This window comes from Homo sapiens, chromosome 20 (genome assembly GCF_000001405.40).
Source record: "Homo sapiens chromosome 20, GRCh38.p14 Primary Assembly".
Lineage (NCBI taxonomy): Eukaryota > Metazoa > Chordata > Mammalia > Primates > Hominidae > Homo > Homo sapiens.
Window position 1 is genome coordinate 38064858 of NC_000020.11, and position 23596 is coordinate 38088453.

The window sequence follows — 23596 nt, forward strand, 5'->3', positions numbered from 1 at the left end:
GGCCTGTACTCCCAGCTACTCGGGAGGCTGAGGCAGGAGAATGGCATGAACCTGGGAGGCGGAGCTTGCAGTGAGCCGAGATCATGCCACTGCACTCCAGCCTGGGTCACAGAGCAAGACACCATCTCAAAAAAAAAAAAAAGAGATAAAATAGAAGATAGAGCACACATAGTAAGAATGGGTATTTTATGAAACGCTGCTTTCATTTTTCTGTGTATTTACATAAGTGTATTTCTGCTGTGGGTCATGTTCAGAAACATTTAAAAACCTCTTTCTTATCAGACTTTACATTTTGTCAAATGTAGGAAGAAGTTCATCCCCACGTCCAAGGCTTACATAGTTTAAGAGATAGAGTGCTATAGATCATTTTAGAGATCTGGCTTCGAGCCCCAGCATCTCAGCTCACTGCATATAGAAACCTGTCATGTAGTTTTTTTTCTGGCGGGGAGGGGGTCTTAGTTCCCACACCCAATAAATAAGTGCATGCTATTTTTTATTCCAGTGGAAAGTAAAAAGACTACTTAATGAAATATAGTGGTCCCTCCATATCCATGGGGGTTTGGTTCCAAGACCTTCTGAGGATACCAAAATCCAAGGTTGCTCAAGGCCCTTAAATGGTGTCGGATTTGTCTATAACCAACAAACATCTTCCCATATACTTTAAATACTCTCTAGATTACTTATCATAGCTAATGCAATGTAAATGCTATGTAAATAGTTGTTATTCTGTATTTTTAAAATTGGGTTTTTAATTGTTATTTTTATTGGTTTGTGGGGTTTTTTGGTCTGAGTATTTTCCATTCATGGTTGGTTGAATCCACAGATACAGAACCCACAGATATAGGGGCCAACCGTAATATAAATGAAAGCACTTGCAATTCTCAGAGACAAGGAACGATTTTTTCACAGGTGATCTTCAATATCTCTTTATGCTTGTTTTGTCAGGAGAGCTTTTGCAGGAACAGGCATTTAGAAAGCCTTTGCCAGATTCCCCCCATGTACAGCTTCCTCACTTCAGGTAATTGAGTAGTGTCCTGTCTTGTTGACAGAGTGAATGCCTTTGGATTTCTTGCTTAATCAACTCATTGTTTGTCCACAGGTGCTGGCTTATTCTCAGACTCTGTATATTGGGAGAGAAACCGTTAACCTCCCCCAGAAATGTTTGTAGTCATACCTGTGTGATTTGTATATTTTCTCTATTTTTTGGTCTCATTTGTACTTAGACAAAGAGGCAGCTGAACGTCTTTCAAAAACAGTAGATGAAGCATGTCTGTTACTAGCAGAATATAACGGGCGCCTGGCAGCAGAACTGGAGGACCGTCGCCAGCTGGCTCGGATGTTGGTGGAGTATACCCAGAATCAGAAAGATGTTTTGTCGGAGAAGGAGAAAAAACTAGAGGTGAGTGCATTGAAGGCAGACCCAGACTGCCCACGTTTCCCTTCCTGTAGCCCACATTAGGAGGTTTTTATTATGCTTTAATTAACAACATTTTTATCGTTTAAAAATTCATGATGTGAATTCTGAACATCCATCAGATACTGTAATTATTTGAGCCCAGTTAAAAATTGAAGTCATGTTCTTATATGTCCAGGACAGAACAAACTGGATTGTAGGAAACAAACAGTGAACTCTTAATCACAGCCTTAGGATCTTAATATTGCTTTCGTTTGAACTCATGTTTTTAAAAAAATTACGAATTGAGGTACAAAAAGGATAGCAAATCAGTGAAAACCAAAGAATATGTTTGGTAGTATTTGGGAAGTGCTGAAAAATGTTTCTTTCAAGTCATTTGGAGGTTTATTTCTTTTTTTTTTTGAGACGCAGTCTCGCTCCGTCGCCCAGGCTGGAGTGCAGCGGTGCGATCTCGGCTCACTGCAAGCTCTGCCTCCCAGGTTCACGCCATTCTCCTGCCTCAGCCTCCCAAGTAGCTGGAACTACAGGCGTCCACCACCACGCCTGGCTAATTTTTTGTATTTTTAGTAGGGACGGGGTTTCACCATGTTAGCCAGGATAGTCTTGATCTCCTGACCTCATGATCTGCCCACCTCAGCCTCCCAAAGTGCTGGGATTACAGGTGTGAGCCACCGCGCCCAGCCGTTTGGAGGTTTATTTCTGACTTTATCCATGCTGCGGCCAAGAAGTTGTCTGCCTCCAAGATCTATCTGTAATTAGCTCTTAAATGTCACAGTAGTATTTATATAGCACAGTTCTCAAACTGTAAAAGACCTCATTTCTACCCTGGGTTGAGGACATTAGTCTGAGTGACCTTGGGGAGGGAGTTCAGAAACATTTCCTCACCATACACTTGTTTGGCTTCGTAATTAAGTACATGGTAGTTTACCCTCAGTACTTGCTCCCGTGGGATAACAGAGCCAGCAGTGTGGATTTTTGGGAACTTTGCTGCCCCGGGCTGCTGCACTTCCTTTTCAGGAATGTCTGCTCTTCTTTTTTTAAGAGATATGGAAAAGAGTTGCAGCCAGTGGTTTTGTGAAGGAGGACACTTCTGAGTTAGAGAGCCAGTCATGTTGTATTTCAAGAAATACTTCTTAAATCCCACTCAGAGTAGACAAGGGACAGGGAGAGCCATGTCACCTCCATGCTCAGGAAACGTGCTCTGGCACAGAAGGAGGGAACATTGAGCTATCTCTGAGGCTGAGATCATTGTATTTGCCTTTCAGCATGGTCATCTGACTTGAGGGGAAATGAGTGGCAGGCACTTTTTACCGTATCCTTACCTGCAGTGATTCTGGGAACTGTGTTGCGTAGTGGTAGCAGGAACTTCACATTCGTAGCCTGCTTGAATGTGGAAGATGGGAAAGGGCTGTAAAAATCCTACAGCTTAGATTTAGACATCGGCACTGACCAGAGATCCTAAAGGGAGTTTTACAGGCAGTACCAGACGGTCATTTATCTGAAATGCTCATCTTTCACTGAGGAAGCATTTTCAGCACTGTGCCCCGGGACTAATAAGAGAGTGTAATTAATGATTCTGGTTGTAAGTCACCATGCCATCTGTTGAACTGCCCCTTGGCGACACATTAAGGGCTTTCTCTGATCTGTCAGACATTGATTATCATGAGCAGCTGTTGTTGGGTAGAACGTGGCAAGCAACCATAGAGGACAGAGTCTTTGAGGAGATCGGGTTGGTAGAGCTGGTTAACTCTTTGTTCTGTTTTCCCTCCCCACAGTTGCACTCTGCTCTGTATATTGTTGGGGAATCATTCTGGTTTTTGTAGAACTAGTGGTTTGCTGGACGCCACGAGAGGGCATTAAGGTGGAGAAACAGATTAGAGCTTTGGATGCGTTCTGTAACTTTCCAGTCTGCGTTGCTCTGCGCGGTTCATTCAGTGGAATGGGGCTGGCATTCCATTGCTGAAGAAGCGGAACAGAAAGGCCCCACCACTGGAACCAACGTACAGAGTCTGAACTGAAGGTTCTTATCTCAAACCATGTCTCCGAGGCACATGAGCAGAACCATTTATTGTAAAAAATAGAGCCGATTTGCTGCATTAAAGAAAGCAAATGACTAGATACAGTATAAGGTTTTTTTCTGAGATGGAGTCTCGCTCTGTCACTCAGGTTGGAGTGCAGTGACGTGATCTCAGCTCACTGCAGCCTCCACCTCCCAGGCTCAACCAATCCCCCGTCTCAGCCTCCTGAGTAGCTGGGATTATAGATTATAGGCATGTACTACCACGCCCGGCTAATTTTTTTTGTTTTTAGCAGAGACAGAGTTTCACCATATTGGCCAGGCTGGTCTTGAACTCCTGACGTCAAGTGATCTGGCCGCTTCACAATATAAGATTTGAGAGATGGTTTTAGTTCTTTTCTTTATCCACGCTTGCTAAAAATTTAGGCAGTCTGCTCTCCTGAACCTAAGATTTTTCTCTCACATTCTGTAATAGACTGGTCCTGTCCCATCACATCCCTATGGTGGTGGCCGAACTTGATAAATGTATGCCCCTTGAAAGATGCGTGAATACTGTGAATTCCTTCAGATTGTCCAAAAGTCTCTCTGCGTGATGGGGCAGTACATAAAGTTTACCCACTTTTTTAACATTCATTTTTGTAACACAGCCAGTCCGTTTTAAAACTTCCAAATCAGAATGCTAATTAAATATTTTATTTTTTAATCCTTTCATTGCCTTCAGGATATACATAGATGAAATTCTCAGAACTCTTTGGAGAAGTAGTTATTTGCTTGCGAGTCTGTTTTCATCCCAAAGCTCTAATATACTTAGGTTTTGTGCTTTCCTTTTTAACTTTGTATCTTGCTTTATGTAATAAGCATCTTTTTCTCTTTCACTTGGGAATTTTATGTCGGTGGCTCCTGCATGTCAGGATAGGGCGTGTGATGATTCAGAGCCTAGGATGTAGGAGAGGGAATTACGGCTCAAAGTAGGAGATTGTGTTTCTTCCCTCGAGGAAATCATATTCTGGTATAAAAAACACAGGTGAACATAAAACCAAACCACTTGATCGTACATAATGTAGATTAAGGAGGCATTTGGCGGTTCTGATTGTGGTTTAAGGTAAGTCCAAACTTCCTGTCAGGCAATAAAACCTTTTTGTAAAAGGAACTAGCAGTTGAAGAAGAGAAGCATGTTTATAAATGGGGAGCAGTTAGACTGGACCAGACAGGTATCTGAAGAAAGACAAAGTCAGATGTGGGAAGGAGGTGCTGCAGACCACCAGTGGGAGATTAAGGTCTGTGCTCTTTAAGAAGCTACGTATTCATTCAGGGAGTCAGCAAAGCCTGTGCCAGCCAGATGTACAAAGATGGGCACGATGCACTTCTCCCCTCAAAGGGCTTATGCTCTAGTCAGGGGGAAATAGCAGCAAACAAGGGGTTAGGGTAGAATTCAAGATAGGTTGTCAGTAAGGAAAATATTCTCACTTGTGTCTACCTTGAAATAGACCAAGAAAAAAATGAAGATGCTAATAATAATTTGATCAGATGCTTATTAAAATTGTGAGAGTTATCAAATCATGGACAGTTTCTGAAACTGTAATGCCTTCAGCAGGTCTCCCAAAGTTTGCTAGACTGTATACTCTTTGAGTGCTCTCACAGTGCCAGGAACATATTTGTTCCTCAGTAAATACTTGTTCTGTGAAATCCATCACTTGATGTAACCTTTTTCTATAGAGAAAAGGGTTTTTTTTTAAGGTTGCATTAAAAGTGGCTTAACAAATCTGATTTAATGATTGGTTGTAAAGAATATGTTAGTACGGAAAGGTAACCATTTTTAGAAGTTTCTGTAGGTTTTCTCCTTTGTACTACTTTTCTTTTTTCCTTTAAGTAGAATTATGCTTTATTCTGAGATAATCATCTTTTTTTGTTTGTTTGTTTTTGACTTTTGCTTCAGGGTGTCATGATTGACTTTGGCCTATGATGTTGGCCCTTAAACACCAGGCAAGGGTGGAAGGAATGCTGCTGAAAATCTGTGGGTAATGTTTTTGTCATGAACATGAGAAAACCTAGAAATGGAGAAGGCACGTGGAAGGAAGCACAAATGGCAGCCCAAAGAGGAGGTTAGAGAATGTGGAGGGTATAGAAGAAAGCCCATTCAGAAAGGCAAAGGCCAAAGATACCAGAAAAGCCTTCCAGCTTCACTTCCAGAGCAAAGAGAAGCTTTGTTTGTGGTTGACAGAGGTGACTACATTACTCCCAGATGTCTGCTCAAAGCTCATAAGACATAGCGTGAGTGGGTTGGATAGGGTTCCTGTCTTGTCAGCGTGAATAAAGCATGATACAGACATGTTCTGTTAGCATGATCAGTGCATGTGGAAGAGTGTGTGTGTGAGAAAGAAACCTATTTGTACAAGTATTAAGGAAAGAAAAAAGGTCAGGAACCTGCAGTTTTCCCTTCTTAACTGTGATTTTTTTTTTTTTTTTTTTGAGACAGACTCTTGCTCTGTTGCCCAGGGCTAGAGTGCAGTAGAGCAATCTGAGCTCACTGCCTCCCGGGTTCAAGCGATTCTCGTGCCTCAGCCTCCCGAGTAGCTGGGACTACAGGCGCATGCCACCACACCCAGCTAATTTTTGTATTTTTAGTAGAGATGGGGTTTTGCCATGTTGGGCAGGCTGGTCTCGAACTCCTGATCTCAGGTGATCCACCTGCCTTGGCCTCCCAAAGTGTTGGAATTACAGGCATGCGCCTCCATGCCTGGCCTTAACTGTGAATTTTATTCAGATCATGGTGTCTGACTGTCAGCGATCTAGAACTGAAAGCAGATAGTCCTGTGTTGACCCACATGCCACATGGTGCACACACACAAAGATGATATGCCACACAGGGAAGAGCTCTTGAGAAATTTGTTCCAAGCTGCAGATTTATTGTTTTAGTTGAGGTGAAATTCATATAACGTAAATTAACCATGCACTTCAAAGTGCACACATTTTGGTGGCATTTAGTACGTTCACAGTATTGTATCAAGTTCCAAAACATAATTGTGTCTGGCTTCTTTCGGCACGATGTTTTCAAGATTCATCCCATGTTGTAGCATATATCAGTACTTCATCTCTTTTATGGTAGAACACTAATCTGTTGTATGGATGTGACACAGTTTATAACCTGTCTATGGACATTTGAGTTGTTGCCACCTTTTGGCTCTTATGAATAGTGTTGCTATAAACAGTCATGTGGAGGTTTTTGTGTGGCCATATCTTTTCATTTCTCTTGGTTATGTATAAATCTAGGAGTGGAATTGCTGGGTCATATGGTAATTCTATGTAACATTTTGAGGAACCATCAGACTGTTTTCCACAGCAGCTACATCATTTTACATCCCCACTAGCAATGTGCGTGGGTTCCAGTTTCTCCACATCCTCATCAACATTTGTTATTGTCTCTTTATTTTCGACAACCTACATGTGCAGGTTTATCTCATTGTGATTTTGATTTGCATTTTGCTAATTACTAACGATACTGATCATCTTTCAGTATGCTTGTCGGCTGTTTATCTTTGGAGAAATGTGTGTTCAATTCCTTTGCCCATTTTCAAATTGGGTTATTTGCTTTTTTTGAGTTGTAAAAGTTCTTTATATATTGTGGATAATATACCTTTATCACATAAATGATTTGCAACTATTTTCTCCTATAAGTTGTCTTTTCACTTTCTAGGTAATATCCTTTGATGTGCAAAAGTTTTTTATTTTTATGAGTTCCAATTTATCTATTTTTGTGGTTGTTGCTCATGCTTTTGGTGTCACATGTAATAATCTGTTGCCAATCCCAGGTCATGACAATTTTTTTCTGTGTTTTCTTCTAGAAGTTTTATAATTTTATGTCTTAAATTTACGTTCTTAATCTGTTTTGAGTTAGTTTTTGTATGTGGTGTGATGTAGGGGGGGACCAACTTCATTCTTTTGCCTGTAGATATCCATTTGTCCCAGCACCATTTGTTGAAGAGACTACTCTTTTCCTCCACCTGAATGCCCAGCACCCTTGTCAAAAATCAATTGGCCACAGATGTATTGGTTTATTTCTGGATTCTCAATTCTATTCCATTAATGTATATGTCTATCCTATGCTCATACCACACTATCTCCATCACTGTAGTTTTGTAGTAAGTTTTAAAATCAGTAAGTATGAGTCCTCAGAGTTCTTTTTCAGTATTGTTTTGGCTATTTAGGATCGCTTGCAATTCCCTATGAATTTAACAATCACCTTTTCCATTTCTGCAAAAAAGGTAATTGAAGTTTTACTAGGGAATGCATTGAGTCTGCGGGTCACTTTGGGGAGTATTGCGATTTTAGCAGTCTTAAGTGTTTCAGCTCATGAACAGGGGATGTCTTCACATTTATTTAAGTCTTCAATTTCTGCTGCAGAATTTTAAAAAGCACTCTAGGAGAGTGTCATTTACTGATGCATTTGATATTATAAAGGCCCTGTCTAGGTTTTGGGACCACAGATGGAGGGCAGTGGTATCACCTTTCAATAATGTTAACCCCCACCTCTAGAAGATATGAGTATTTTGTGTATGGACTCAATGGAGTCACCAGGGCACAGTCACAACAGCAGCTTTACAAAGTAAAGTGACACATAGAGGCCTGGATATCTAAGTAAAGTGATTAGCAGGATTATTGAGCTGGACAGAACCTTAGAGATCATATAATCAGACTTCTGAATTGGTGAAGAAACCTAGAGAGAGAGGTAGCTGCAGACCAGCATAGAGTCCAAGGCAGACATCTGGTAACTTCATCAGATTTGTACTTTTGTTTTGATTTCAGAATTTTGATTCTGCAACATCAACAGCAGGAAGACATCTTACACAGAATAGTAGCCAAAGTTTAATCATTTAAACAGTTCCCAAGAATCTTGTTGTAGAGAAATGACATTTTATGTGGGGTCATAAAATGATTGCATGAAAGCATTCTAAGTGTGAAAGAACCTACTCTGCCACCAAGGTTCTAAGTACCTGCCTCGCTGTACCCCTGCTCACGCTCTTGCTCTGATAGGAGGGGAGAAATTGGCTCATGAACTTAAAGCTGCTGGTGTTTCTCCTCGCTTGGCACCTCCCCCTTGGCTGTAATGACTACTCAGGAGTAGAGCCTCTGACTTCAGACAACACAGCTGGGAAGGGGGAAATGGTTCAGAATCCAACATTGCCTTATGACTCTTCATATTTCTGTTTGATTGTGGTTATAACAACTTGAGAAATTCTTTGGCTACAGTTGAAGGGGTGCTCAACCAAAATGATGGCAGATTGTTGTTTTTGGCAGCACCTCCCTGCAGGGTGCAGATGGTTAGAAGCTTTTGTTTCAATATTAGGCCAGGCAGTAGGGGGAGATAGAGAGCTCCTTTTTTGTCAACTTTGGAGTAAATTCGTCTTTCCTATGATGATCAAAGCCAGTATCTCAGTGTCCTATCATGGTAAGGACAGATGGGAGCCGGTGATCTAATTGTCATTTTAGGTAAGAGCCCTTGGGTTTATGTGAACACTTCAGGGTCACAGAGGAAGCCAGTGAGGACCAGTACCTGGATCTTCTGACTCCTAACTACAGTGATCATCCACTGTGTTCTCCTGGGAGCTGAGAGGCCCTGCCTAGTGCCGGCCCCCTCCTCTCAGTCCTCTAAACTCACTGCCCTTCTGTAGTATTCAAGTCTGTCCTCCCTAGGCTGGCAGCTCTGTCAGCACCCAGGTTGTTAGAATAGTTGTTAAAACAGGTCATTCTGTTGCCAAGTAATTACGGGGCCTTGCACTCAGTACCTTCCCACGAAGCAGGCCGTAGTGTGCTTACTGCTCTCCCTTGCCTTTCCATCCCCTACTTTGATGTGGGAGTTTTCTTTCTTTTTACTTTTCTTTTATTTTCTTTTTTTCCGCCAGTTTCCCTCCAATATGTGAGGACTTTTATTGAGTTAATGTGTGGGCTTCTGTGAGTGATTTGGAGTTCCTTGGATTTCTTTTATTCATTTTAGTCTACTGACCCTACTGCTTAGGCCCAGTTTATAGCTGGAGCTTTTATCTGTTGGGTGTGTGTGTGTTTCTTTATTACAATGTGAAACCTATGATACTTATTTTTCACTCCAGGAAAATAATGCCACATTATAATGTACTTCACATACTTAGTGACTTAAGAACATGATTTGCCAACATTTGAGACTTTGAGACTTTACATTGAAAAAGTGACACGGTTTTAAGGCTTTCCCAGCAAGAATTCATGCCTTTAGCCATAGTACCGTTTTCATATTTGTAGCCCAACTTCTGTGGGCAGTGTAACCCCTGCTTGATGGAACAGTGCCACTGAGTTTCAGCTGGTATATGTAGCACTAATTTTTCATATTTATGGAATGCATATAATATGAAGTTAAAACAGCACCTGGGCCTCTTATTACTCCTGCCTGCCAGAACATTCACTCTGGTTCAACTAGTACTCAGGGTTTTTGTTTTTGTTTTTGTTTTCTTTTTTTGATTGTAAAAGTAATACATCAGAGGAAACTTAGCAAATAAGTATAAAGAATAAAATTAGTCTCATTACCCAGAGATAACTATTTTTAATTTTTGCGTATTTCCTTTTCCTCTTAGTTTAAAATTAAACTGAATGATAACTTGCAGATAATTTTCTGTCATGCTTTTTTCTTAACATGATTATTTTTCCTTGTAAATAAAAACTTTATAAACATTGTAAATGATTGCTTGAATACCTGTGGTTGGATAGTCAATGATTATTTGTATTGAGCACTTGTATGTTTCTGTCTCTGTCTCTTAGCTTTAGGCTAACTTTCAGTGTTTGGATTATTTTCTTCCTGTAGATTTCTAGAAGTGGTTCTATGTATATGTGCAGATGTCTGCTTGTCTTTTAAGTATACTGAAGGTCATATACATTTCACGGTCTCTGCCACCAGAATGCGTTCCTGCTGTAGGAGTTCTTGTCTTTTCCAAAGCATCTTAACCAGTCTAGGACTTCATTGAGCTTATTTTGTATAAACCTCTATACAAGTTAAGGATTAGTCTTTTGTTTTATGAAGGAGTAAACACAGAATAGTTTAATTAGACTAATGGAGCTCTCTTCTGGCTTTTAAATGATCTTGTTTACATTTGAGATAGCTGTGTGAAAATAGCACATACTTCTACTATAACATTGACTTGAGTGAGCATAATATTGAGAGCAAGGTTCAGATTGCAGAAATTTGAGCTGCCTGTTTGACCTAGTGGGTGCAAGTTATTTTGAGCAAGGTTCTATTTTAGTCTTTATGAATGTTCTTACTACTGTTAAGGTGGGCCTTCTACTCCCACTTAAAATTGGGATTCTGAAGAAAGTTAAAATTGGATTGTGGCATACTTTGCAATCTTGGAAGTTAATCTCTGACTTTGTTTTTCTGTCTCTAAAATGTTAGACTTGAAATAGATCAGAAAGAGTCATTTTCTGAGATCAGGGCAAAGTATTCTGGTTATAATCAGGAGTCAAGTGAAACCTTTGCAGATGAAAGCCATGAGCCCCAAAGATATGGCATGCTTTATGTGAAGAGGATGGTACTAGCCAGCTGTCATGATGGCTGTGCAAGCCTCCTTATTTGTTTTTTTCCTTATTGAGGTCCTTTATCTTTAAACATCTGTAGGAAGAAGTATGATTAGCTCTCTTTGCCTAATTCTGCCAGTAGCTACTTTGAGAATTTCAAGCACAATAACTTCGCAAACTTCAACTCAACAAAAATTTACCAGCAGCCTTTCTGAGAATTATTGGGGTTTGGACAGTAATTATGAATGGACAAATCCTACTTTTACTCATGATGTCCTTTTCCCAGTCCTTTCCTTTTGCTCACAGTGTGTCTGTTCTGTGGGGCATAGACTCAGTAGGAATTGTTCCCTTTAAGATACCATTTACCCCAATTATGGTGCAGTGATGATGATCTGCTTTGCATATTTCAGGTTCTTTTTGGCTTTTTCCATTGAAGCCAGTGGTCCTCCCAGCGTTTTATCTTTGATGTGACTTTTCATTGATAAAGTAACACTTTACCTTCCTGGGACAACAGATTCCAACACCTTAACTAATCTGAAGTTGTTAGCTTCCACCTTCCCTCGTCACATGGGACCTTTAGGGCCAATTTATTTTCCTGCCCACATGAGAAGTCTCCAGTAAACTAGCTGAAGGTCCTCAGCATGTAGCATGCTTTGTCTCTCCAGTGTTTAAAAGAAATCATCACATTCACATGAGCATACCCTCTGCACCACCCTCCCTTTATAACTACCACCATATCCACTTCCCTTGCTGCCTCTGCTTCTCAGCCTGTTGCAGCTTGGCATGCATGTCTACATTCCACCCAAGTGGCTGTCTTCAGAATTTCCCCCCTTCCCCCCACCCCTGCCCCCAGTGGTCTAATCTCAAAACCCAAAAGGTACTTCTTAGTCTCTGCCTCTTGGCTCCCTTTCTCTTTTTGGCCCTGTCTGCAGCATTTAATATTACTGTATTACAATGTATTTGCATTTCTGGTTTCTGTGTACCACCCTCTGCTGGTTCTTCTGCTTTTTCATCCTTCAATAAGCTTTTCTCCATGCCTTTATTGTAAATGTTGCCATTCCTTTAGCCTTTTCTCATTCTGGACCTTTTTTTTTTTTTTTTTTTTTTTTTTTTTTGAGATGGAGTCTCGCTGTTGCCCAGGCTGTAGTGCAGTGGTGCGATCTGGACTCACTGCAACCTCCCACCTCCTGACTTCAAGCAATTCTTCTGCCTCAGCCTCCTGAGTAGTTGGGATTACAGGCACCCACCACCACACCCAGCTAATTTTTGTATTTTTAGTAGAGACGGGGTTTCACCATGTTGACCAGGCGAGTCTTGAACTCATGACCTCAGGAGATCCACCCGCCTCAGCCTCCCAAAGCGCTGGGATTACAGACATGAGCCACTGCACCAGGCCTGGACCTTTTCCTTGAGTGCTTTATACTTAGGCTGGCTTCAGTTACCAACTGGATGTTGATGGCCTACCTCTAGATCTCTAGGTCAGACCTCTTCCATGTACTTCAGACTCATGTATCTCATTTCCACAGACACCTCAGACAGTATGGCTGCGACAGACTGTCTCCTTCCTTCTCACCTCTCCTTTCCTTCTCTTTCCTTGGCTTGGAGAGTGGCAGTGCCATCCATCAAAATCAGACACTAGGCCTCATCCAGTGTTTCTCCTGATTTTTTTCAGCTCCCAAATCTGTTGCTTTGGCCTCCTTGTCACAGCCTCTCCCTCAGTTCCTCTGCTATGCCTCTGCCAGGTTGACCTCCCACCACCATCTTCCATAGCTGAGTAGGTGCTACGCCAGTGTGGTTTTTGCTCCCTCTCAATTTTTCATGAATCTGCCTCCCTTCTCTGCGTCTTTGTCTCCACTTCCATCACCTTAGTCCACTCTGTCATCATCTGTCCCCCCTGGATCCTTGCAGTAGCCTCATGACTGATCATCTACATCTGCTCTTAGGCCCTATAATCCATTCTTCACATGGCAGCCCTATGATGTGTTCAGAATGCAGCTCTGAGCATGTCATTCCCCTGTTTAAACATTTAAGTAGCTTCTCATTATTCCTAGTTCTTCGAATATGGGCCCAGTGGCCAGGTGTGGTGGTTCACACCTGTAATCCCAGCACTTTGGGAGGCTGAGGCAGGCGGATCACTTGAGTCCAAGAGTTTGAGACCATCCTGAGCTACATGGCAAAACCCCGTCTCTATCAAAAATTAAAAAATTAGCTGGGCATCGTGGTTCATGCCCAGCTACTGGGGAAGCTGAGGCAGGAGGATCACTTGAGCCCAGGAGGTGAAGGCTGCAATGAGCCATGATCGTGCCACTGCACTTCAGCCTGGGCGACAGAGTGCAGGCTGTCTCAAAAAAAAAAAAAAAAGACTATGGGCCCAGCTGCTGGCCTGGCCCCCTCCTGTGCCCTATGACTTGGCCCCTGCTGACTTCCTCAGCCACATCTCTTGTTGTGTCCCATGGCATTTTGTCTGCACTTGGCCTTCTTTGATCTCAGGCTTTACATATGCTGTTCCCACTCTCTGCCCAGGACACACTTCCCCTTGTTTACTTTCCATCAGTTATACTTACCTAGTTAATTCCTGTGTTCACCATTTGTATCTCATGTCAAACAGTATTTTCTCAGGGCAGTCTTTCCTCAGACCCCACCCCAACCCCCCAGCCCCATACACTGTCTTAGCTCCCTAGCTTTTTCCTTCAGAGCACCACATAGGTTGTCAGTCTGTTTGTGGATTATTGCCAGACCATAAAGTTCTGTCTGTATTGTCACTCAGGCATGTCCAACCCACTCCTGATACTTGGCCCACTGTCCTGATCTCAGAGTGGCAAGTACCGATGTCACTTGGTTCATCTCTAGACAAGGTCGGTGTCTGCCTTTGATGGGGACTCTTTCCAGTCTGAGGATGTTGCTCGATGGACTTCTTCTCACTAAGCCTATAGCTTGATGGACTGACTGGACTATGGTACCACCAAGTTTAAAAATTCTGTGATTTTTTTTTGTTTTCCAATATTATAGGTAGACCTTTAAGGAAAAAGAGGTGCCCTCGGTCAAAGATCCTTTCCTTTTCTCAAGGCAGCTTCTAGTAAATGTGCTAAATTTTAAGGATATAATCAAATGGTTTCTGGGAGAAAGGATCTTGTATCCCATTAATAATTCTTTTTCTTCAACTCTGCATGTCTTTTCTTGACATATTATAAATCAGGAAGATTAAGTATTGCTCATAAAATAATAGAATATGGGAGGGGTGAGTGTTCTTTCTCCATCAGATCTGTCGATTCAAATGGAACAGTTTAGCAAGTGCCTGTTCTCACCCAAGCTTCCCCCGTGCCATAGGCGTTGTTTTCATTCCCATCTCATACATAGGAGCCCAGTGAGTTTGTCACATGTTATATCCTAGGCACATGGAAGTGTAGGATAGGAACTTGGATTTTCTTTTTTTTTTTTTCTTTCCAACTTTTATTTATTTTATTCAGGGGGTTCAGGTTTGTTAACATGGGTACATTGTGTGTCACAGGTATTTGGCGTACAGATAATTTTGTCATCCAGGTAATTGGCATTGTACCTGATAGGTAGTTTTTCAGTTCTCACCCTCCTCCCATCCTCCACCCTCAAGTAGTCCCGGGTGTCTTATTTTTCCCTTCTTTGAGTTCATGTGTTCTCAATGTTTAGCTCCCAACTTATAAGTGAGAACATGCGGTATTTGGTTTGCCTCATCCATGTTGCTGCAGAGGACGTGATCTCATTCTTTTTTATGGCTGCATAGTATTCCATGGTATATATGTACTCATTTTCTTTATCCAGTCTACTGTGGATGGGCATCTAGGTTGATTCCATGTCTTTGCTATTGTGAATAGTGCTGTGATGAACTTAGGCATGCATGTGTCTTTATGGTAGAATAATTTATATTCCTTTGGTTATATACCCAGTATTGGGATTGCTGGGTTGAATGGTTGTTCTGTTTTAAGTTCTTTGAGAAATCTCCAGACTGCTTTCCACAGTAGCTGAACTAATTTACATTCTCACTAGCCCTTTATAAGTGTTCCTTTTTCCCCACAACCTCCCCAGCATCTGTTATTTCTTGACTCTTTAATAGCCATTCTGATTGGTATGAGATGGTATCTCATTGTGGTTTTGATTTGCATTTCTCTAATGATTAGTGATACTGAGCTTTTTAAATATGCTTGTTGGCTGCATGTATGTCTTCTTTTGAAAAGTGTCAGTTTGTGTCCTTTACCTATTTTTAATGGGGTTTTTTGTTACTTGCTTATTGACTTAAGTTCCTCATAGATTGTAGATATTAGGCCTTTGATGGTGGCATAGTTTGCAAATATTTTCTCCCATTCTGTAAGTTGTCTTTTTGCTCTGTTGATAGTTTCTTTTGCTGTGTAGAAGCTCTTTAGTTTAATTAGATTTTACTTTTCAGTTTGTTTTTGTTGCAGTTACTTTTGGAGTCTTTGCCAGGGCCGGTGTCCGGCATGGTATTTCCTAGGTTTTCTCCTAGGGTCTTTGTAGTTGGAGGTTTTACATTAAGTCTTGATCCACTTTGAGTTGGTTTTTATATATGGTAAAAGGAATGGGTCCAGTTTTAATCTTCTGCATATGGATAGCCAGCTATCCCAGCACCATTTATTGAATAGAGAATACTTTCCCCATTGCTTGTTATCATCAGCTTTGTCAAAGATCAGATTCTTGTAGGTGTACAGCTTTATTTATTTATTTATTTTTTTGAGTCTTGAGTCTCTCTTTGTCTCCCAGGCTGGAGTGCAGTGGCACGATCTCGGCTTGCTGCAACCTCCGCCTCCCAGATTTGAGCAGTTCTCCTGCCTCAGCCTTCCGGGTAGCTGGGATTATAGGCATGCGTCACCACGCCTGGCTTATTTTGTATTTTTAGTAGAGATAGGGTTTCCCCATGTTGGCCAGCCTGGTCTCGAACTCCTTACCTCAGGTGCTCCACCTGCCTCAGCCTCCCAAAGTGCTGGGATTATAGGCATGAGCCACCGTGCCCAGCCAGTGTACAGCTTTATTTCTGAGTTCTCTACCCTGTTCCATTGGTCTTTGTATCTGTTTTTGTACCATTTCCATGCTGTTTTAGTTACTGTAGCCTTATAGTATAGTTTGAAGTTGGGTAATGTGATGCCCTGGGCTTTGTTCTTTTTGCTTAGGATTGCTTTGGCTATTTGGGCTTTTTATTGGCTCAGAATCAATTTTAGAATATTGTTTTCTCTTTGTTTTGTTTTTGTTAGTAGATGCTGTGCATGCAAAAATAGTTTTTCCTAATTCTGTGAAGAATGTCTTTGGTAGTTTGATAGGAATAGCATTGAATCTGTACATTGCTTTGGGTAGTATGGCCATTTCAACAATATTGATTTTTCCTATCCATGAGCATAGAAGTTTTTCCATTTGTTTATGTTGTCTCTGACTTCTTTGAGCAGTGTTTTGTAATTCTTGTTGTCGAGATTTTTCACCTCCCTGATTAGCTGTATTTTATTCTTTTTGTGGCTTTTGTGAATGAAATTGTGTTCTTGATTGGGCTGTCAGCTTGGACATTATTGGTCTATAGAAATGCTACTGATTTTTGTATATTGATTTTGTGTCCTGAAGCTTTGCTGAAGTTATCAGAACTAGGAGCCTTTGGGTAGACATTATGGGGTTTTCTAGCTATGGAATCATATAGCCTGCAACGAGAGATAGTTTGACTTCCTCTCTTCCTATTTGGATGCCTTTTATTTCTTTCTCTTGCTTGATTGCTCTGGCTAGGACTTCCAGTACTGTGTTGAACGGGGGTGGCAAGAGTGGGCATCCTTGTCTTATTCTGGCTCTCAAGGGAAATGCTTCCAGCTTTTGCCTGTTGAGTATGATGTTTGCTGTGGGTTTGTCATAGATGGCTCTTATTATTTTGAGGTATGTTCCTTCGATGCCTAGTTTGTTGAGGACTCTTAACATGAAGGGATGTTGAATTGTATCGAAAGCCTTTTCTGCATCTGTTGAAATTTGAAATGATGATGAAGTTTTTGTTTTTAGTTCTGTTTATGTGATGGATCACATTTGTTATTTTGCATATGCTGAACCAACCTTGATTCAACAAATAAAGCCTACTTGATCATGGTGGATTAGCTTTTTGATGTGCTGCTGGATTTGGTGTGCTAGTATTTCATTTATTTTTACATCTGTGTTCATCACGGATATTGGCCTGAAGTTTTCTTTCTTCATTGTGTCTGCCAGGTTTTGGTATCAGAATGATGCTGGCTTCATAGAATGAGTTAGGGAGGACTCCCTCCTTCTTGATTTTTTTGGGAATACTTTCAGTAGTAGGATTGGTACCAGCTCTTCTTTATATGTCTGGTAGATTTTGGCTCTGAATCCATCTGGTCCAGGGCTTTTTTTGGTTGGTAGGTTTTTAAATTACTGATTCAATTTTGGAACTCGTTAATAGGTCTGTCCAGGGTTTCAATTCCTTCCTGGTTCAATCTCGGGAGATTCCGTGTTTCTAGGAATTTATCCATGTCTTCTAGGTTTTCTAGTTTGTGTGCATAGAGGTTGAACTTGTATTTTCTTTTTTTGTTGTTGTTTTGTTTTTGTTTTTGTTTTTGAGACGGAGTCTTGCTCCGTCCCCCAGGCTGGAGTAGAGTGGCGCCATCTCGGCTCAGTGCAAGCCCCGCCTCCCAGATTCACACCATTCTCCTGCCTCAGCCTCCCGAGCAGCTGGGACTACAAGGCACCTGCTACCATGCCTGGCTAATTTTTTGTATTTTTAATAGAGACGGGGTTTCACTGTGTTAGCCAGGATGGTCTCGGTCTCCTGACCTCGTGATCCGCCTGCCTTGGCCTCCCAAAGTGCTGGGATTACAGGCGTGAGCCACCACGCCCGGCCTGAACTTGTATTTTCTGACTTCTGCCACAGCCATCTCCCTCCAGTAGAAAAGATATGATATACTCCCAGTCATTTGGAGGTGCTAAGAAACATAACCTTATTGTTTGTTTGCTAATGGAAAGGAATTGAAATTTTTTTTTATTATAGAGAGAGCTGTATTCCAGTGTAGTAAGTAACCTACAGACTGTCTTACCCTGGGCAGATCTGCCAGCACTAAAAACTACAATAAACATTGCTTAAAAGAATTTTACATGATACAACCAAATACACAAGCACACACACAAAAAAATTTGTCTGTTAGTTTGTCTTTTTCCTTTCTACCCTTTGTTTCTCAGCTGTCCTCCAGGAATGCTTGACTTTACCAGTATTTGGCTTAAAATGAGAAACCTTTGTCTGTACCTTTGATGTTTGTTTGCACAAAAATCAATAATCTGGCTTTCCATTAAAATAGTCCTTAAAGAAGCTAGTTTGTGGGGTCTTTGTTAACTTGTGCAAAGCATACATTTTTGATGGTTTACTTTAAAAAAAAAACTAAATAGTTTGTCTTATACTTTAGTATTTTGGTTTTACTGGTTTTATGTAGTGAGGGACCCCATTCCATAAATGTAAGGATTTTTGAAGGATCCAGGTCCATTTATTAATCTGTATCTTTTTAAAGCATTTTATGAGCATCTGTTAAATTGAAAATATTTAGCTTTATGATTATATTAAGGCTTGAAAATTGTCCAGTCCTAAAGTGTATTTTCCTTTTTTAGTTTTTTTTAGTTAGTATAGACACTGACTTTTCATTCTCCCCTTGCTTCCGCATGTCCCTATGAGATCAGGGGTTTTGTTGTGCCAGTAGAAGCTCCCTTATCACCTTTTGTGTAGAGGAGCCTCTGGGGAGAAAGCAATGCCCTGAAAATGCTCTGTGGTACAATTTCAGGTTTAAGAAGCTCGCTCCCATTTGGAGTTTCCCGTGGATGGCCGAACTGCTCCAAGAACATTCCTCCAGTTATAGGCATTTTGTCGTTTTTCCTTTTGGGAAATACTTTGTGTGTACCTTTATTACGGGTTTTGATAGTGGAGCTGAGAGGCCCCGAGTATTGGGATTGGAGCCACAATTTCTTCTCTTCTTTGTATCTTACCCAGTGTCTTACTCAGCAGCTCCCGCCGTGCTGTGACACCCCAGAATGTGTCATTTCGAAACGTCACAGCTGCCACTAGGTCATATGGGAGCGTGGAGCTGGCTGGGGGAGAGGTGCAGGTCAGTGATGGTTTTTTTTTCCCACATGGGATCTTTGAAGAAAATTTTAAAATGGCACTCTTATTTTCAATCCAAATATTCATATATTGTATTTTCCAGAAACATAATGAGGGAATGAAATTGTGGTTTAAGAGGCTGTGCTTCTCAAGTGTAGGTCCTGTGGCTTTAGTAGCAAGGGGTAGGCCTCCTGGCAGGATGAGGGGGCTTGGCGGGTGTGTTAAATATTGGTGGGGTGTGGGTCAGCTTCCCCTTTGGGCTTGGCTTTCTCAACCTCCATACTATGAAGCAGTCCTTTGACTTAAATTCAGTGTGGCAGGTCACCTTTAAAAGAGGGGCCTTCGTAAACTGCTTCGTGCACGATAACCCTTTATGACTCTTAATTGGGGGTAGCCGAGCAGTGGGTGATTTTGATATACCATATGTCCTGTAGCACAACAGGGCAAGATGATGGAGATTTCCAGGAGTCCTCTACTTAGCAAGAAGGAAAATAGGTTTAATAATGTTTACATTTTGATCGTTGTTTCTTAGATGTGTTGCTAGAGGAAACGCTTATAGTTTTGTTTGTTTTGAAAATGAAATTCCTGTGGAAAGGTCATTGCAATGCCAGCCCCTGTCATTTCTAGCCCACTTATCCCAGAGCTCATCTGCAGTGTGTCAGGTCTGGCTTACTTCTCTAACCAAAAAAGGCAAAGAATGTGTAAGCCCTGCTCTCTTCAGCAAATTGTCTGGGTGCTCCGTGATGGGTGGAGTTCACGGTGTCAGCTGGATCCACAGGAAGCAGGGAAATGTTATAGACACATTTTCTCCTGTAAGTTTAGAGAGTCTGTGAGGCAAGATTCCAAAGCTTTGCCAAGAGCATAAATCCTAGGCTTTATCTCAGAACTACACATTGGGCCTTACCCTCTACATTGTAAACATTTCTTGGCAGTCAAATAAACCCAGGCAGTTTCTCGAAGGTGCCTGCCACCTCCTCCACCTCCCCTTCTTGAGGATCCTGACACAGGTTTGCTGCAGCAAGTCAGATATGATTCTTCCCTATTCGGGGCCCCCCACGGCTCTTCTGGGCTAGGGCAGGTTTGCCGCAGTAGGTACTTGCCGCTGAATGGAAGGCCCACCTCAGCCCCCCACATCTCAGTATAAATAATGCGTGCGCTGGAGAGGAATAGCAACCAGACTGCTTGGGTTTTGCCATGTCTTCTCTTGCATAAGATTGGTCGTGGAGGAAAGGCACCCTCTGAAGATGAGAGTGCTGGAGAGAGCGTTGTGCGCTGTGGTTGAGAAGAGTGCGCTGGTGGGGAGAGGAGACTGATGGGCAAGAACGCTGCAGCAGGCTCGTCCTGCAGCTGTAAATGGCACAGGACTGGAGCTCTTGAATTCCAGTTCTAGGCAGGGGAGCGTGGGTGTTGGATGAAAGGTTTAGTCCTGTGTTACATACAGGACTAAAGTATAGTCCTGAGTAAAGTGTCTGAAACAAGAAGCATGTGACCACCTGGGCACATCATTTTTCTACCTGAGTGGTACTTGGTGTACTAAAGAGATTATGGGATGCAGCACACTTAGACAAGGTGGAAGAATCTGAGTGGGTCTCATCACGTTGGAGTTGGTTTTTATGGGATATGGAAAAGAGGCCCGGATTTCTTCTGAGAGCAGGAGTAGCTGAGGAGCCCCGTGGCAGCAGAGCTCGTGAACTACACTTGTGTGAGAAGACAGGCTGGTAAGTTGAGACACGAGATTCTTGGATTTTCCTGAGACCTTTCTCCTTCATCTCTCCAGACCCAAAGAGAATAACCTGGAAAGTCAGCTAGTGAGGGTCTGCAAGACCCAACTGAGAGAGCTTAAGAACCAGAGAATTTGGAGGCAGGTGAAGGCTGGAGTTGTATTTGGGGGAGTTTTGTTTGGAGTCAGTCTTTTTTTTTTTTTTTTTTTTGAGACAGGGTCTCACTCTCACCCAGGCTGGAGTGCAGTGGTGTGATCTTGGCTCACTGCAGTCTCCACCTCCTGGGCTCAAGCAATCTTCCCACCTCAGCCTCCTGAGTAGCTGGAACTATAGGCATGTGCCACCACGCTTGGCTAATTTTGCATTTTTTGTAGATGGGGTTTTGCCATGTTCGGGCACAAGTGATCCACCTGCCTCAGCCTCCCAAAGTGTTGGGATTACAGGCGTGAACCACCTTGTCTAGCCTGGAGTCACTGTTAATTTCTTCTGTTGGTCCATGGCAAGGTTTACAGATGACTTTGTTTGGAAAGCCTGAATCTGTTTTTAAAAGCAGGGATGGGGAGTGGGAAATCACAGTAGTTACTACTTGAGTCTATTTAGTGGACTATAAAAATTACTATAGCTTCAGTTTAACCTAATCAGAGCTTGCCATGAATTCGAGCCTGCTTGCCTCTCTTCAGGAAATTAATCTGGGTCATTTGACTGTCCCAGTTAAGCAGGTACATGTTTTAACAGTTTTAAAGGCAATTGCTGCCTGTATTTGGTTTTTCAGAGTATATACCCGGTTATCCTTGCCAATACATTTAAACCTCTTAGCCTACAGATCTTTTCTTTTTACCAGCCTCAGTGTTTTGTGTTTTTCATTTTTTTGTGGAGACAGGGTCTCTATTTCCCAGGCTGGTCTCGAACTCCTGGCCTCAAGCAGTCTGTCTGCCTCAGCCTCTGAAAGCATTGGGATTAAAGGCGTGAGCCACCATGCCCAGGCCAGCCTTGATGTTTATTAATCCTTTTCAGTGACAGTCTCACTCTCCCTCTTTCTTTCTCTAGTGATTCCTTCCTCTGACGCCTGCTCTTACAATAGGCGTCCCTGCGAGAAGAGTCACCCAGTGGCATCAAGAGCTCTGGGCAGGATCCGTCCACTTCCAGAGTGGCCTGAAGAGTGGAACACATTTCTTTTTAGTTAAATGAGTTTCTTCGGTAATGTCCAGAATATAATAGCCTAAGCATGATGGAATCCCCCGTACCCCACCCTATACCCCCTTCCAAACAGAAACAACTGTTGTTTGGTTTTTTGGGGTTTTTTTTGTTTTTTTGTTTATTTTTTTGACACGGAATTTCACTCTGTTGCCCAGGCTGGAGTGCAGTGACACAATCTCAGCTCACCACAACCTCTGCCCCGCCGGGTTCAAGCAATTCTCCTGCCTCAGCCCCCTGAGTAGCTGCGATTAACAGGCACCCACCACCCTGCCCAGCTAACTTTTGTATTTCTTAGTAGAGATGGAGTTGCACCATGTTGCCCAGGCTGGTCTTGAACTCCTGACCTCAGGTGATCTGCCTGCCTCGGCCTCCCAAAGTGCTGGGATTATAGGCATGAGCCACTGCGCCTGGCCACAACTGGGATTTTTAAGAAATTGCCTAGGAGAGAGTTAGTTGAACTTAAGGTGGTGTCTAATTAGAGCAAAGTGCCTTCCATTTTAACTTCAATGAACTTGCCACGTTGGTCTGATGATAACCCAAGAGTAAGGAGTCTTGGATTCTGATCCCAGCTCAGCTTCTAGAGACTTGGTGGTTTTCAAATTGTTCTTGAGGGACTCCTTCAACTGAAGGGCTCCCTAGTTGCCAAGAGTGGTTGGTTCTGAGTCGAGGTGGCTTTGATTTGTCAGCTTTGGTCAGAGAATTCAGGCAGGGGGCAGGAAGTCCGTGTTCTGTAGTTGTTTTGTTATTTTACCCTTTTTATACCTTCCATTCAGGAGAAGTTTATTAGATGAATCCGTGTCCAGAAATAGAGAATTAGTTGCCTTCATCCTTTATATTAATTTCCCTTGAAGTATAAACAGCCAAAGAAGAAAAGTACTTGTGGGAGAAAGGGGGTTCAGATCCTCAAATTTGAAAATAGTTTTCAACTTCAGGAACGTGAAAGGTGACTGTTAACCAAAGTCTGAGTCTCAGGAGCTACTTCATGTGGTATGCTTTTACCTGATGTTATGTTTTAGATATGGCTCATTCATTCGGCACATGTGCTGGGTGCCTACTGTTTGCTGGACACTGCGGAGCCTGGTGGATGCTGGGGGAAGCAGATGGGTCTGGTCCTGGCCTCCAGGAGCTTACTAGTTAAATGTGGGAGTCATTGCTAATCATTTACGTAAGTCATTGTTTAATTTTAGTTGTGGTAAGTTTACAAAGAAAAGAAATGGGCTGCTAGGAGAGCTCACTCTCTACCCTTTTCTCTTCCTTTGTAGACTGTGTGAGGAGCTCTCATTGCGGGTGGGAGACTGATTGCCTGCAGTAATGGGGAGAGGATATGCCTGGTTCCCTCCTCTCACTCCTTGCTTGGACTTTTGTCTTTACAACTTGAACTAAGTATTCTCCATTTGACCTTTTTCCTGCCTCATTATTCTTCCCAGACATTCTCTAGCTTCTACTTTCTGCCTCTTCAGGTGTGCATCAGGGATCTGGTATCAAGGAATTTAGAACTTGAAAAGAAGTGTTATGGTCCAGTTCCCTCACTTTCAGATATGGAAGAAGGGAACACATCCACGGTCACACAGCAGGTTAGAGGCAGAACCAGGACCAAGCCTAGGTCT

The 23596-nt window shown here is 42.2% G+C and overlaps 1 protein-coding gene and 1 long non-coding RNA gene across 4 annotated transcripts in view, besides 1 other annotated feature; both read left to right on the forward strand.

The window, feature by feature from the left end:
* The window catches only part of RPRD1B (regulation of nuclear pre-mRNA domain containing 1B), a 58619-nt gene that overhangs the window by 31112 nt on the left and 3911 nt on the right, over positions 1-23596 (forward strand). For all 3 annotated transcript variants that reach the window (NM_021215.4, XM_047440346.1, XM_047440347.1), the window contains one exon: positions 1224-1399. In NM_021215.4, the coding sequence (NP_067038.1) occupies positions 1224-1399 (176 nt within the window). The remainder of the gene's footprint in view (positions 1-1223; positions 1400-23596) is intronic.
* Positions 8508-8617: an enhancer, noted in NCBI's record as "active region_17855". NCBI's record gives its function as "activates an Ori minimal core promoter by ATAC-STARR-seq in GM12878 lymphoblastoid cells {active_cell/tissue: GM12878}" and the evidence as "EXISTENCE:reporter gene assay evidence [ECO:0000049][PMID:35858748]".
* On the forward strand, positions 20034-23563 carry LOC124904897 (uncharacterized). Its single transcript, XR_007067578.1, has 4 exons — positions 20034-20789; positions 21840-21989; positions 23006-23154; positions 23252-23563. It is a non-coding gene; the product is annotated as an uncharacterized LOC124904897 (long non-coding RNA).